This window comes from Homo sapiens, chromosome 1 (assembly GCF_000001405.40).
Source record: "Homo sapiens chromosome 1, GRCh38.p14 Primary Assembly".
Taxonomy (NCBI): Eukaryota; Metazoa; Chordata; class Mammalia; order Primates; family Hominidae; genus Homo; species Homo sapiens.
This window is the reverse complement of record NC_000001.11, coordinates 115,879,540-115,881,259: the sequence shown is the minus strand read 5'-3', so window position 1 is coordinate 115,881,259 and position 1,720 is coordinate 115,879,540. Positions and strand designations below refer to the sequence as shown.

The following is a 1,720-nucleotide window of genomic DNA, read 5'->3' as shown; positions in this document are numbered from 1 at the left end:
TCTAACCTTAATGAACATCACAGTGCTACTCCATCAACACTTGAGACTGTATGCAAAAGAAAAACAGGAACTATTTGGTTTTCAGTTGTGAGGCATAGAACTATTACATGATTTGACTAAAGCATGTAGGCACCCCCACAACAGTCTTATGAATAAATAGACACTCATCATGCCCCAGTACCTGAACATGTTAACAGATGTTATAAAATCAGTAGGCAATAGCCTGGCAAATTCAAAATTACTGGAAATTTTCATTGTGATTCATTGGTGGACCAGTGCTAGAACTTTATCATAAGCAATCAGACTAGGTCCTTGTGGAGATTTTGGATTTTCCCATGCAAAATGCTCGTTTTTGGTTTCTCATCAACTTTCCAGCCATCTCTTTCTACCATCTGTTGAGCCCAAGGAATGCACACTTTCTTTTAGAACCACTAGTAAATACTAGGGAAACACTAACATGGAATATAGCTCAAATCCAAATGATTTTTTTTGGTTCTGTTTTTTTTTTTTGTTGTTTGTTTGTTTGTTTTTGAGATGGAGTCTTGCTCTGTTGCCCAGGCTGGAGTGCAGTGGCATGATCTCAGCTCACGGCAACCTCTGCTTGCCGGGTTCAGGCAATTCTCCTCCCTCAGCCTCCCGAGTAGCTGGGACTACAGGTGTGTGCCACCATGCCTGGCTAATTTTTTGTATTTTTGGTAGAGGCGGGGTTTCACCATGCTGGCCAGGCTGGTCTCGAAATTCTGACCTCATGATCCGCCCGCCTCGGCCTCCCAAAGTGCTGAGATTACAGGCGTGAGCCACTGTGCCCGGCCCCAAATGATTGTTTAATACTTTATTAAGGATTGTCTTGAGAACATGAATGAAGATAATGATGAGTTAACTGCAGGGAAAAAAATGTAAGGTTGGTGAAATCTGCTTAGTTGATCCTAATATTTCATCCTTTCTATTTCCTGAAATACAACCCCCACCATACACTCCTGTGGTACTCTCATGGTACACTTGGCTGTCACAAAGAAGACTGGCAGCTCACAACTTAAATTGGTTGTGAAGACTTCAAAGAGGAACTCCCCCCAGGACTCTCTGGGGAGCCAGGAGGGGGCACTCAAGGGATGATTCATGAATGGTAGCGTTGGATCCTATGACAAAAGAAGTGGTTTTATAAGATTGGGATAGGGGTAGCTGCTTTCCTTGGTACCTCAACCCTCAAATCACACTATAGAGGTGACTCCTTCCTTTGTTTAAGTAAAAACTAGATCTCCTTGTTGGAATCACTGTGCTTGTGTGTGTGTGTGTGTGTCTGTGTGTGTGTGTGCATATGTGTGTGTGTGTGCATGTAAGTGCATGTGTATGCAGGCCGAAAAAAAGAGGCTGAGGTCAGGCGCAGTGGCTCATGCCTGTAATCCCAGCACTTTGGGAGGCCTAGGTGGGAGGATTGCTGAGCCCAGGAGTTCGAGACCAGCCTGGGCAACATAACGGGACCCCATCTCAAAAAATAAAAGTAAAAGAAGCTGAAAAGCAGAATATAAGTAAATCCATAAATAATTGTACTGAAGGAAATTACCATCAAATAAGTCTTGTAGTAAATACAATTAAAAGAAAGTTGCTTTATTTCCCTGTTTTTATTCGTGAAGCTGAGCAAGACAGAATGTTTAATGGAAAATAGACTGGACTAAACAGGCAACAATTTCCCTGTAGGTCAGAGAAGCCTGTTTCTCCTTAA

At 42.6% G+C, this 1,720-nt stretch overlaps 1 annotated feature.

The window, feature by feature from the left end:
• Positions 820-1,359: an enhancer, noted in NCBI's record as "NANOG hESC enhancer chr1:116422522-116423061 (GRCh37/hg19 assembly coordinates)". NCBI's record gives its function as "activates a minimal SCP1, AML or CMV promoter by ChIP-STARR-seq in naive H9 embryonic stem cells {active_cell/tissue: H9 hESC(naive)}" and the evidence as "EXISTENCE:reporter gene assay evidence [ECO:0000049][PMID:30033119]".